This window comes from Homo sapiens, chromosome 6 (assembly GCF_000001405.40).
Source record: "Homo sapiens chromosome 6, GRCh38.p14 Primary Assembly".
Classification (NCBI taxonomy): Eukaryota; Metazoa; Chordata; class Mammalia; order Primates; family Hominidae; genus Homo; species Homo sapiens.
The window spans coordinates 144,832,392-144,845,009 of NC_000006.12; the positions used below are offsets into that span (position 1 = coordinate 144,832,392).

At 38.9% G+C, this 12,618-nt stretch overlaps 1 protein-coding gene across 2 annotated transcripts in view; it reads left to right on the forward strand.

Moving 5' to 3' along the window:
- UTRN (utrophin) overlaps positions 1-12,618 on the forward strand; it is a 567,700-nt gene that overhangs the window by 547,057 nt on the left and 8,025 nt on the right. For both annotated transcript variants that reach the window (NM_007124.3, NM_001375323.1), the window contains 4 exons: positions 3,389-3,547; positions 3,910-4,150; positions 6,782-6,893; positions 8,349-8,441. In NM_007124.3, coding sequence (NP_009055.2) covers positions 3,389-3,547; positions 3,910-4,150; positions 6,782-6,893; positions 8,349-8,441 — 605 coding nt within the window. The remainder of the gene's footprint in view (positions 1-3,388; positions 3,548-3,909; positions 4,151-6,781; positions 6,894-8,348; positions 8,442-12,618) is intronic.

Below are 12,618 nucleotides of genomic sequence, written 5' to 3' on the forward strand. Positions count from 1 at the left end.
TGTGTTAAACTCTATCAGCTTCCCCAGAGAAGTGAATCTATATGTATGTTGACAACAAAAATACATCTCAAATCTAATTTTGGCTGGTTTCACTATGGATAGTCAGTCTCCAAATCTTTAAAACAAAAATTTACTTGGTATTAATATTAAGCACTGAAGTTAATCCATGAGGTCAGGTGCTGTAGTAAATGTTCTGAGGGCATAATGGTGGCTTGTGATCTTGGAGGAACTCTACGCCAGGATCTGTGGTCAAATCATGGCCACAAGATCAGCCACATAGCTTAAAGGGATCCAAGTTTTCTTTTAATTCTTGTTGTCCTTATATTAGTTCTTATTTTAAGTCTTTTCTTTCCATATTTATTATTTTCTTTTAGGTATGTTATTGATAGGTATCATAGAACTAATTTTTTGTTTGTTTGTTTTGTTTGTTGTTTTGTTTTGTTTTTGAGACAGAGTCTCACTCTGTCGCCCAGGCTGGAGTGCAGTGGCACAATCTCAGCTCACTGCAACCTTGGCTTCCCGGGTTCAAGTGATTCTCCTGCCTCAGCCTCCCGAGTAGCTGGGATTATAGGTGCCCACCACCAAGCCCAACTAATTTTTGTATTTTTAGTAGAGATGGGGTTTCACCATGTTGGTCAGGCTGGTCTCAAGCTCCTGACCTCAAGTGATCTGCCCATCTCGACCTCCCAAAGTGCTGGGATTACAGGCGTGAGCCACCGTGCCCAGCCAACTAATTGTTTTTTTAACTAATATTAGAATAAGTTTACCTCTATTTTTATCGTAACACCTGAGATTACCATCTACTTTAGTTCCATTTTGCATTATCCTTGCTCATTCTTTCTTTCATATGCTATGTGGACAAAGTGCTTTGCCTGTACACTTGAATGACCTGCCTGGTCATATGGATGGATAGGTTAGGACTGTAGATATTGCTCCATTGTCTTTGGACATTTAATATTATGGAAAATAGGAAGCTAAACCTTTTTCCACCGCTGAACATGATTTACTGTTTTATTTTGATTTCTGGCAGATTGCTTGTGATACTTTATCTTTAAAATACAGACATTTTCCAGGGATACATATGAATGTGCTTCTTTTGTTATTATTATTTTTGGGTACTCTGTCTTTATAGTTTCTATACTCAGATCTTTTTCATCCTGAGAAATGAGAAATATTTACAGGATGTTCTACTGAACTCTTATTTTGCTGTTTTATTTTATATCTATCTACTATATCTTTACGCTTTGTCCATTTGTCCTATCCATATGTTAGAGCTGCTCTTTTGTCATGTTTTATCACCTCTCTCTTCACATGAACTTGGTGAGGTGCCTCCAGGCATCGCTGACTTTGCATTGTGTAATTCACTGCAGCTCATTGGTGTCCTGGTGGTGTTGAGACATTAGTCTTACAGCTTGCTTCTGCCCCGGATAACACAGCTAGGTTTAGGGTGTTGGCCATTTACTTCCTATGAGGAAAATATACACATACACAGACCCATATCTCCCTGCCAGTCTGTTTGATTTAGCTACATGGGAAACTGAGGAGCTTTTGGATTGCTTTCAAATGCTGCTCTCTGCAGTGGTGCAGTACCCATACTCTCTTCTTCTCGTCCTTCTAAACCCAGGAACAAGCATGGGGTTCTTGCAGAGGTTCCTTCATTCATTTCCCAGTGATGCTGCGTTTTCTCAGGAAAGGGAATCAAAGGATAATGCCGCAGCTTACTTCAATCCTTAACCCACTGGTGTTCCTTATTTCCAGTTGCTAACTGTGTTGTAAGGGTCCCACCCCATCCTCTTTTAAAATTTATTTGATAAAAGCAAGAAGGTCAGGTTAGGTACTTATTATTATATTGTGGCCTTAACCAAAGTATATGACCTTTATTTAAATATATATATACTCACATACACACATGTTCATATCTATATCTATATATTTCTAGAGGGAGAGAAAAAGAGAGGGGGTTTATTGATGAAGAAAGCAAAATAAATCAACAAGTGGCACATCTGAACTTTTGCTTTGGCTGTTTGACAAGCATAATACCAGAACGTTCAGTTTTCTCAATTGCTTCATCTAGCTCTCTGATCTCAATGCTTAGGATAAACCTTTTCTAGGAATTCACCAACTGTCTGATACAATTTCAAGTCCCTTCCTTGTTAGAGTAAACTGCAGTAACACCAAGATGAATTTTCAAACCAGAATTACAAGTACCAGAGGTCTTCCCCAGCATCAAGTGTTACTCATCAGCTCAAGGGCACAGGTAATCTCAAGGCTCTGGTGAAGCTGAGAGAGGCCCAGGACTGCCAGCACCACACACCAGGTTCTTTCTGGCTGCAACAGGATGCTGTCTGACTCCAGAGTAACAGAAGAAGTCTCTAAGGGATGTTCGCAGCCCCCATCGCTTACACAGGAAGGAGCTGCTTCAGTCATGAGATAGCCCCATTTGACACTCTGATAGCTACATAACTGACATGAGGTTTTCCTGCTGCCCTATCCTGTAAAGCCATCGATTTCCAGGACTTGTTTACCAAAAGCCATCAAAACGGACCACGTGCCATCTGCTAATGGACTGCCCTGCTAGTATTAGCCAGGAGATTGGTATTTGCACATTTATAAGATCTCACTGGATCTCTCTTGTTGAAAGAAGATAAGAAATTCCGAGTCTGCTAGAAAGCATTTTCTTGCCATAAATATATCAACTTTGTTAGACATTCACTTATGTCAGTTACTAATTCAACCACGTTACTGCTATGTCTAGTTCATTAGACAGGTAGTTAGATAAGTGGGAGAACCCACATGCATTAAATGTAGTTTCTTGTTCTAATGCAGAGTGATCAACCCTAAAAATGACCTGCTAATAATATAAAGTAAAATATCTGTAGAGACATTATAAATATCTACAATTATAATTTGTGCTGAGCTATTTAAATAAAAGAACATAAGGATTATAAACCTTGTCATATGGGTTACAAAGCATTTCAAAGTTACTTTCAACGAAATTCTAAAGACAGTGAAGTCAGATGATTCTTAATTCAGTAGTCTTTTAATCAACTCTTTAGGCATGGAGTAATTGATTTTGTCTACAGTAGCTTTTATACTAAATGCTGTTCCTTATTTTTGTTTTTTCTGCTGAGTAAGATATCCCTTCTGAAGTTTATGAGATAGAGCTGTTAGATGAAAGAGAAGCCTGAAATGTTGACTCATGTAATATCCATGCTCTGCTAGATGAACTTCTTCCTAGAGTTTTAAAAGGGAGGTCATGGAGACACTGAGCTCTAAGACAAACTTGGCCCAGCCACTATCCTGTCCATCATTATTTCTACTTCCTTTATGTCCAAAAACATCACCATCCAGATGTGAGCCTCTGGGTCTGTTTCCTTTGTCTTGCTAGGGAAGACGAGCACGCCCTCATCCAGCAGTATTGCCAAACACTCGGAGGAGAGTCCCCAGTGAGCCAGCCGCAGAGCCCAGCTCAGATCCTGAAGTCAGTAGAGAGGGAAGAACGTGGAGAACTGGAGAGGATCATTGCTGACCTGGAGGAAGAACAAAGGTGTGCTAGGCCTGGGAGAAGGAAATATGTCATCCTTTCTTTTGTATGAATTTCACTGTAGCCCCCATTTATTCTCTTTTTCAAGACTATTGTCTAAGAAATCTCAGTGGAGTGAAAATTTTAGAGGCTATTAACAAACTGGGATGCTGGCTGCAATACAGCAGCATTTGGGGGTTCATTGATGATGTCTACTGGGACACTTGCTTAAAACTACAATTTTATTCCTGCATGCTCATCCTGCTATTAATACACATTTTTATATAAGAGGAACTAGCATGAGCTAAATTTGAACCTCACAGACGATTTTGGAGAGACGATAATGCACGTGGTAGTCATTCTGTTTCTCCCTCTTTCTGTATTAGAAATCTACAGGTGGAGTATGAGCAGCTGAAGGACCAGCACCTCCGAAGGGGGCTCCCTGTCGGTTCACCGCCAGAGTCGATTATATCTCCCCATCACACGTCTGAGGATTCAGAACTTATAGCAGAAGCAAAACTCCTCAGGCAGCACAAAGGTCGGCTGGAGGCTAGGATGCAGATTTTAGAAGATCACAATAAACAGCTGGAGTCTCAGCTCCACCGCCTCCGACAGCTGCTGGAGCAGGTAGGGTGTGTAGAATTCAGCGTCACACCTCCCCAGGCCATCTGTCCACTGCCCTGGGAGATGATGGTCCAGGTGTCAGGAGAGGCAGAGAAGTCCACTTTCAATTTCTTACCTCCGTAGTTAATTCAGACTGGCTTAGAAATTTCCTTTTACATGTAAGCATATAAATCCTCATTGGCACACAAAAATGTGTTTGCCCAGCTTACAATGGAATTTCCCAGTCTTCTTTAACAATGAAGTCCGCCTCAGCTCTGAACTGTTTGAGAGAAAATATCCTATGACATATATCTTCCTAAATTATACATGGGAAGCATCTGTATTAAGGAACAGCAAGAGACCTGAAATCGGCATTCTAAAGCTTTCTTCCAGTGAGACAAGAATGCTGACTCCAAGAATCATTATTTTCTATTCTCAAGAAATTGAGTTAAAGATGGTTATTAATTTGCTACTATTATTTCCTAACACTGGACCATGTTTTATGGGAGTTGCTTGCAAGCTTTCTGGATGATAAGAAATACAATTTACATTAAGATGAATACATGCATGTATGGAGAATACAAAATAATACTTGCCTTTATAGAGAAATGCCAGCTCTTATTTTCTATTTTCCCTTTCTTCCTCCCTCCCTTTCTTCCTTCTGTTTTTCTTTCTTAATGCTGGTCAGGACCTACTAAATTGATTCTATAACTCATCGGTGGGTTATTGCATTCAGTTTTGAAAAACACTGTTCTTTGAGATATAAAAGAAGCATCAATACAGTTTCTGCCTTTCTGGTGCCTGCCATCTTGTTAGAGATCACAGCAAGATACTTTCATATGTGAAGACACAGCACACTGTAGGGAATTAAGTGCTTGATGGCACATAGTAGTTAGGAATAGGAGTGATGTCTCAGAAGTAGTGATGGAGAGACCTTTGCAGCAGGTGCAGAGAGCGTAGAGTCCCAGCACAGGGGCCAAGAGCTCCTCTCTCTTGAAGAATCCCTGACATCAACATGCATGTCATCTTTAGTCTTTTTCTCTAGCCTGTGCTGTGTGGAGCTCCTATGTGATATAATAGGAGTGCCTTTCTCCAGAAATGATTTATTGACTCAAAGCAGGAACAACTTTCTCTCCAGTGATTCTCTCAAATTTTAGAAAACTGCCTTTTCACAGTTGCTCTCAGTCTTTTTAACTTACCAGAATAATTCAAAACAGTGTCATTTCTGCCTTACCTACACAGAAATTTGTGTAGGCAATTCATAATTTGACCATACACTTTTCTCTATGTCTCTCAGTGTTTCAGAATTTGGGTGAGGCTGTTCAATGGAAGGCTTACTTCAGGGCCTCTCAATCCCACAATTTGGAAAGTAAGAGTTTCCCAAGAGTGACCCAAGACGTGGGTTTCTTGAAGCCCTTCGGAATGTTTGAGTCTTACTTAGTGCCAGCCACATACATTGAAAACGTTACATTTTTCATTCCGCGAACTTGAAGTTTCCAAATGGTGCTGTGTAAGGGATGGATTTTCTCTTGCAATCTCTTGTTTAGAATATGAAGTGTTAGTGTTAACAACTTAGTGCATAGGTGGAATTGCTACAGAAGGAAGCTGTGCTCAAAACCTTTATTTGCCATGGCTGGTTGATGCCCACAGGAGAGCAAAAGGCTTTTCTGTTCACCCTTGCCTTCCCCTACTCCCTCCATCCCATTAGACAGTGCTGCCTGATGGCTCATGTGCCTTGAGAATCACATAGCAATGCTTTTAGAGATAGCTAATATCCAAATGGCTTCTATATCCAAGACTGCAGAGCTCTTATCTCTTCTAAACAATTTAGGATGATGAATGCTAGAAGTAGATGGAAAATTCAACTCTAATAGTAAAAACTAGCAGAACTACCAGGCTTCAACTAATATAGATTTAATGGAAAAATCTGCATGAAAAACTTGTAACATCTGCATTCCCTATATGATGGCTCACACTTTCTAATTTGACCATATATTTGTCAGCGTATCCATATTGAAGATTTGCGTGAGTGCCTTTACGAAGTATTTACTAAGTGTCAGGCTGTTCTAACCATTTTAGAAATAGTCATTCTTCACTCCCCTCACAAAACTCTATAACACAGCACTATTATTACCCTCCCCATTTTACAAATAAAGAACTGAAAGCATGGAAGGTTCTACAGTTTTCCCAGAATTACACAGCTTATGAGTGGCAGAGTGGGAATTAGAATCCAGGCAATCTGAATCCATAATCATGCTTCTAATCACTCTCTCAATATTGCCTTGGAGTATGAGCTGATTTTGAAATTGGATAAATTTACTGTATTAGAAACCCAGTGCTGATGTTTAAAATATGAGTGAACTATGCTTATGAATTCACTTAACATTAAAACAACAGAAAAATTGAGGGATAAAAATGGTGTTGATAAATGAGTCTGGCAGCATAACCAAGTGGATTCTTCAAGGTGTCCAAGCGGAAAGAGAAGGACCAAAGCCCCCACCAAGCTGATGCTAAAATGTATGGAAAACATCTGAAGGCAAAGACTTCTATATGATTTAATTATCCATGGTGAGGGCGGGGAAGTTAAAAAGGAAATGTTTTTCCTTATGATTATTTGAATCCTTTCTCTGCTTTAACCTCTGAATGTGGTTCCAGCCTGAATCTGATTCCCGAATCAATGGTGTTTCCCCATGGGCTTCTCCTCAGCATTCTGCACTGAGCTACTCGCTTGATCCAGATGCCTCCGGCCCACAGTTCCACCAGGCAGGTCGGTGTCCCCAGCACACAGCTCCTCTGCTGAGTCTGCTTTGTGCTTTGCCATTAGTTTGTGTTTCCTGTTAAGTAACATTCCTACACACTGGTGCCTTAGGAAGTAAAAGAGTTTTTTGTATTTGGTCTTAAATAGGTGCAAATCCATTTCAACAATATCAAAAAGCAAACATTTTCAAATAAGCTATAATACACTTGTTTATATAATCTGTAGAAGTGGATTGAAGTTTGGATGAAAAAGCCTCCTCTGCCCTTTAGAATGAGCAAGAAATTAAATTATTTGCTTATGAATGATTTTTTTAGTACACTTTCTGTCTCTAAAATGTTACATTGGTGCATATTCAGGACTAATAATATTACACCAAACATTATGGTTGTATCTGCCAAGGTGTGGAAACTCATTTATTCACTTTTCTTCGTCCTAGTCCACTTAGACATTGTCTTGCCTGTCCCATCAGAGGCAGCGGTCCCACGCAGCCTGTCCTTGGTCACAATGGGGACCTGTCACTGATGCTAGGAAGGACTCAGTAAACTAGGTGTTAACCAATGACATTTTGTTATCAATTAAATTAAAATTCTAGAATTTTACTGAGAACGATATATTGTAACCAAATTAATTTCTTGGTGGGATATCTTTTGGTACATTAACCAGAAAAAAATTAAAATATTAGCTGGATGCAGTGGCTCCCGCCTGTAATCCCAGCTCTTTGGGAGGCCATGGTGAAACCCCATCTCTACTAAAAATACAAAAATTAGCCAGGCGTGGTGGAGCACTCCTGTAGTCCCAGCTACTCGGGAGGCTGAGGCAGGAGAATTGCTGGAACCTGGGAGGCGGAGGTTGCAGTGAGCCGAGATCGCACCAATGCACTCCAGCCTGGTGACGGAGGCTCCATCTCAAAAAATATATATATTAAAATATTAAGATTATTTTCATATTTTTTAAATAAGAGAACTATCTTGACTATGGATTATAGGATAAAAAACACATCCTAGTGAAAAGTATCTTAAATAAGATGCCTTTACTTTTGTGGCAGGATAAGCTGGCCTAAGCTGAAGTCTCCAAAAAGAAAGGAGGACAGAAAAAGAAATTGGTGAAATTTTTTTTGTATGAAAACATACCTGTGGTGCAAAAATAATAGATTTCTCATTCAAACACTGAAATAATAAGACCATATTACTTGTTTTTCAGTCTCATATTTTTCAGTCCCCTGGTGTGTGGATTCTTTCTACACAAACAAACAGCTAGTACGTGTCAATTATGTAAAATTATATTACCAACACTCAAGCAAAAATGTTTTGGGTATATTCCCCTAAAATTGTCCTTTGCAATGGGAAATCTTTTCACATTGATATTTAGAGGCTGGTTGGAGTATTTCCTCCTGAATTTGGGTTTTAGTGGAAGGCTAGACATTAATTTGAGAAGCTTTGTTGTTCTCTTTATTTGCTGTCACAGCGGGAGAGGACCTGCTGGCCCCACCGCACGACACCAGCACGGATCTCACGGAGGTCATGGAGCAGATTCACAGCACGTTTCCATCTTGCTGCCGTGAGTATGAAAGATTGCAGCACCACAGCTGCACGTGTTCCTTCCCTTTCTCTTTTTCTGCATGCGGCCCTTCGCCTTCTTCCTTAAGATAACAAAAACCTTATTACAAACAGGACTGAATATTATTTGAAAATAAGGCAAACATTATATAAGAAAATGAAGCTCAACCTAGATACTATCAAGTAACGGGGGTACAGTCGCAACGCAATTCTGCTCTTTGAGATTTTTCAATATGCCTGATGGGTGATAAAATGAAAGCAAATAAAATAATAAGTCTGGTTTTAAGAAGAAATTATCCTCTTCGATGCAAGCTATCATAAGGAACACATCTTAGTTCAAAGAAGAGCTTTCAGTGGCATGCCAAACAAGGCATGGAAACAGCCTTTCTAGTGTAATTCCCTCTCTTTTCTTCAAACATTGTTCTCCAATGTCATCAGACTCCAGTGCAGAAAGGGATTGTTTTCAGATTTTCCCTTTTTATTCCCGCTGGTTTCTTTTCTCATGGAATAAAATAGTCATTGTATAAAGGCCAAACAATTTAAGTCATCATAGATTAGGATCCTGTGAAGTTTCCATCTGAACAACCAAGAGCCAGAAAATAACCAAATTCCTGGGGAAATTATATAATAATTCTTACTTATTCATTTTTTCCAAGTGTTTTGTCTTCAGCACCTTGCCACCTTGCAATTTTGGCTGAGCTCTCACCTAAAACACTTCTGGTGTTTCTAGCAGAATATATACATACAAGTAAACTGTATATATGTATACATATATATACACACACACATACAAATATATAAATGCATATAAATTACTTAGTACTATAATTATATTTTAAATAATCTTTGACAGGATTTGAAGACATTATTTGTAATTTTAGAGAGATTTACTCTCAAACTGATTTTAAATCCAGGGCAGTCACTAAAATAAGAATTCATGTAAAGCATAGCCTCTTATTTTACCCTTGTCTGTCATCTCCTTAGAAAATGCCATCCCAGGCTGGGCACGGTGGCTCACACCTATAATCCCAGCACTTTGGGAGGGCGAGGCAGGTGGATCATGAGATCAGGAGTTCGAGACCAGTCTGACCAACATGGTGAAACCCTGTCGCTACTAAAAATACAAAAAGTAGCCGGGCATGGTGGCATGCACTTGTAATCCCAGCAACTCAGGAGGTTGAGGCAGGAGAATCGCTTGAACCTGGGAGGTAGAGGTTGCAATGAGCCGAGATCGTGCCACCGCACTCCAGCCTGGGAGACAGCGTGAGACTTCCTCTCCAAAAAAAAAAAAAAAAAAAAAAAAGCCATCCGAAATGATGAAAAAGAGATTATCAATTATCAGGAGTGTAGGTAAATAAGATATATTGACTTCATTTAAAGATTATTATTTACTGTATAGAACTTTGTAATTTTTAAAATACCATCATTAGCAGAATGTGAAAACAGCTATTTAAAATATATTTCTGGCCCAGGTGCGGTGGCTCATGCCTGTAATTCCAGCATTTTGGCAGGCTGAGGCAGGTGGATCACTTGAGGTCAGGAGTTTGAGACCAGCCTGATTAACATGGCAAAACCCTATCTCTACTAAAAATACCAAAAAAATTTTCCAGGTATGGTGGCACAAGCCTGTAGTTGTAGTCCTACCTACTTGGGAGGCTGAGGCATGAGAATCGCTTGAACCTGGGAGGCTGAAGTTGCAGTGAGTTGAGATCATGCCACTGCACTTCAGCCTGGGCAACAGAGACTCTATCTCAAAACAACAACAACAACAAAATAAATGAATAAATAAAACATATATTTCTTTGTGAATTTTCAGGAATATTTGCCTGAAGATTATATTATGGTTTCCACCAGCACATGAATATATCTATTTGTGTTTTGCCAGTGTTTCCCAGGTTTTCATTTGTAGATCTACTATAATGCTTCTCAAAGTTTGCAGAATCACATTTACACTACATCAGTCTCCACACCCACCTCCCCACCTCCCCACCCCCCAAAGCACATGCATGCATGTGCACACCCATATAGACACACTTTTGGCTTTTAGAGTCTCACAAAAGCTTAAGAGGATCACTGAATGCTCACATGCTACCAGATTGTTGCTTATTTTCTAGGCTCTGTAACCACAGTAATAGATAAACTGATTAAAACTAGTTTATTAATTATAATTCAAGGTCAAATTTATTTAGAGGTTTTGATTTTCAATTGTTATGTTACTTAGTGAGTAGATAAAATCTCATCATAGTCTTTATGAGCCAGAATTAAATTCTTAAAGGAAATTACTTTTTAGTTCAGCTTATACCTAAATAACCTTAATAATTAGTTAAAAACAAATTCTGTACATCAAAGCTGTTTAGAAGTTTTTATTTAAATATCATGGACATTTTCAATTGTAAAAGTCAGTTGGCAGTGACAGCCAGGATGGGAAATGTGTTTCAATATACACCTTGTAATATATATAAAATATATAATTTCCATATTAAAAATTTTATTCTAAAAATGTGGGATTTTTTCCAAGTTCCATTTCCTAAAGAATTTACTCTTAAATTTTTCTCAAAGTATACTCTGACATCCAGATTTTACAAAAGCTGGACCCATGTCATTTTAAAACAGAACATTATTAAAAATAAATAATCATAATTTAGAGCAAAAATGAATTGTAACAGGTAAATGTATGTATCTCTTTTTATGGCCTCACTTTAAAGGCAAGTATAAAATTCCTATTGGTTGGGGATCTTGTTAGCTGTTCATTGATATTGGTTTCTGAGAGGAGTATACACAGTACCTTCAATGGGACCCACATCACAGAGATTCATCCTCTCCCCTGCATTGGTCCCCTCTTCACCAATGTCATTCTCAGTGTTCAGAGAGTGGTTTATGGAGCCCTGAGATTCCTTAATGTTTATTAAGCTTGAGTCACATTCGTCAAAAACTCAAAACCTACTGAAATGCAATGATTTCCTTTTAAATATGTTTGTATGTAAAATACCCTTAGCCTTCTATCTGATAAAAAGCTGTTGGTTTAAAAGTATTGGTTTGGAGCAGCTGGCTTCATGTTTTCATAGTGTTAACTATGCACATTCACAAATATTTATAATAGTCATAGTTTTCTGAATGAGCATTACTAGTCATGTCTTCTTTTCAAGAATTCAAGCACATCCATGTATGAAATGATGAAAAGTGTATTTTAGAATCCTTTGAAATCTCCATGTTTTAATTTTTGGCTTCTGAAAGTTCTGCTATTCATATTTTTTCTCTGGTATTATATACAAGACAGGGACAGCTTTCCATAAAAATAAAAGCTGTATTGACTTATTTATAAAATTGATACATATTTTCATATTCTGCCTGTAATTATTAAACCTTTTAAAAATTGATGCAAAATAGAAATCAGCGTGGGAGGTAGACTCAGTGCCCAGTGCATGTGTCTTTCTCTCTCTTTTTTTTTTTTTTCTGAGACAGAGACTCACTCTGTTGCCCAGGCTGGAGTTCAATGGCACGATCTCAGGTCTGTATAACCTCCACCTCCCAGGCTCAAGCAATTCTCATGCCTCAGCCTCCCAAGTAGCTGGGACTACAGGCACATGCCACCACGCCCAACTAATTTTTGTATTTTTAGTAGAGATCGGGTTTCACCATGTTGGCCAGGCTGGTCTCAAACTCCTGGCCTCAAGTGACCCACCCACCCTGGCCTCCCAAACCGCTGGGATTACACGCGTGAGCCACCACACCCGGCCCCAATACATGTTTCTGACTTGAGTGAATGATTACATTTTCTAGCTGGGAAGGTTTCCTTGTAGCATTCCTAGATAGTACTCAGAACGTTTTGTAGGATTCATTTGTTCTTTTGTCCCTTTAAAGTTGCTCAGCCAGCAAATATTTTAATAAGCCTTTGTGATTCCCAAAGCTTACCAACCACCTTTGGAGAATTTATCTAAACAAATCGGATTGGCACCCTCCCAATGCCAAGCCAATCCCTTGAGCCCCTGTAACTAATGAGAACTTTAAAAATGCTTGTCGCCAGCATACAATGAATTGATCTTCATGTTAATCTTGACTTTTGATCCTTTGTGGATTAAAAATTAGCATGGCCCCAAATGAATTTCCACTCTTGGCAATCTTGGAATTAAAATGAAACTCTGTATTCATAAATCCTAATTGTGTGAATTGCCTATTTT